This window comes from Homo sapiens, chromosome 20, assembly GCF_000001405.40.
Source record: "Homo sapiens chromosome 20, GRCh38.p14 Primary Assembly".
NCBI lineage: Eukaryota > Metazoa > Chordata > Mammalia > Primates > Hominidae > Homo > Homo sapiens.
In genome coordinates, this window is record NC_000020.11 from 57,585,490 (window position 1) to 57,586,985 (window position 1,496).

General features: G+C 54.3%; 1 annotated feature.

The window, feature by feature from the left end:
• Positions 844-1,138: an enhancer, noted in NCBI's record as "tiled region #2062; HepG2 Activating DNase matched - State 1:Tss, and K562 Activating non-DNase unmatched - State 7:EnhWF". NCBI's record gives its function as "activates a minimal TATA promoter and a strong SV40 promoter by Sharpr-MPRA in HepG2 and K562 cells {active_cell/tissue: HepG2 | K562}" and the evidence as "EXISTENCE:reporter gene assay evidence [ECO:0000049][PMID:27701403]".

Below are 1,496 nucleotides of genomic sequence, written 5' to 3' on the forward strand. Positions count from 1 at the left end.
TCACTTTCCCTCCTCCTCTGCTAGGGCTTCCTGGGATCGCTCATGTTCTTGTCTCCTGGTCTGCTCCTGGGACAACCCAGTCTGAGACACAGAATTAGCTCATTTAGTCCTCACAGTGATCCCAGAGAGGAGGCACTATCATTGCTCCCATTGCAGAGAAGAAAATCAAACCGAGGTACAGAGACGTTAAGTCATTTGCTCCAGGACACACAGGAAATGACAGAGCTGGGACTTGAGCTCCATGGTGGCTCCGAGTCTGTGTGTTGACCCCCCTGCCTGCAGCACCGTTTATATTTGGTCCTGACTATGATTTGAAGTAGGCAGGGGTTTCATGCAGACCAGCGGTTCTTCAGCTGTGGTTCTTCCCCAGCGACAGCAGCAGCACCTGGGAATTTGTCTGAAAGAGTGATTTGGGTGGCCCACCCCCAGAGCTCGATTCTGTGGGTCTTGAGGTGGGCCCGGGAGGTTCTAGTGCATGCTCCAGTTCGAGAACCACTGGCATAGGCGAGTGGTGTAGACACGACGTGCGGGAGAGGAATGGGAGGCAGCAGAGGGGTCTCCATCCCAGGGAAGAGAGGCTTCAGGGGAGAGAAGGGGGCGCGGGGGGTGGAAAGGGGTCAGATTCAGGCCACATTTGGGGTTGAGCCGACAGACTTGGAGATGGATGGGGTGTTGGGGGTGAGGGGAAGAAAAACCAAAGATGACCCCTAGATGTTTGGCTTCTGCCAGCAAGTGGATCTCAGCACCATCCTGAGTGGGGAACACCAGGGAAGCTGGCTGGGCAGGGCCGAGGGGTCCATGTGAAAATGAGGGGGTGGCATGCATTCAAGGGGGGCTGCCCCCTTGACAATTCTGCTTTGCCCCCCTCCCCAACCCTGCATTTTCCCGAGGCAAGTCTCTTTCTGGGAACCTGACTCCCTCTGAGAACAGGCCTGGCTGAGCAGCCTGGGGAGGAGTGGTTGGGGCAGTAGCCAGGGCCACTGGGTGGTGTGGGGGAGGGGTGGTGCACACGCTGCAAAGTCCAGTCCTGTGGCCTGTGAAGCGAGCAACAACTGTGGTACTCGGGGAACCTCTGTTCCTGGAAGGAATGATCAGGCAGAGGCTAGCTCACCCCACACCCTGGCTGTGATGTCCTGACTCCGAAACATCTAAAGCTCAGCGGGGCAAAAAAAGATAGCTGCATTTCACCGTTGCATTTCAAAGCTTTCAGACAATGGTTGCCACCCAAAGATGGAAGCCCCCAAGGCAGGCCACCCTGCTGCGCAAAAAGGGCTTTGGCTGGGACACCAGTGGGCTCCCTGTGAATGTTCACAATGGAGAACAGAGTTATGCTAACACCAGCAACTGATTTAAAAAGTAGGTGATTATTTTAAAATAGCATTTTAAAATATTTTCATCATTTGATTGTGTGCAGTGTTCACATGTCTAGGAAAGCAATCTCCATTACAACACAAGGACACACGGGCAAGGATTGGGTGGTGGGGAAAGGGGAATGC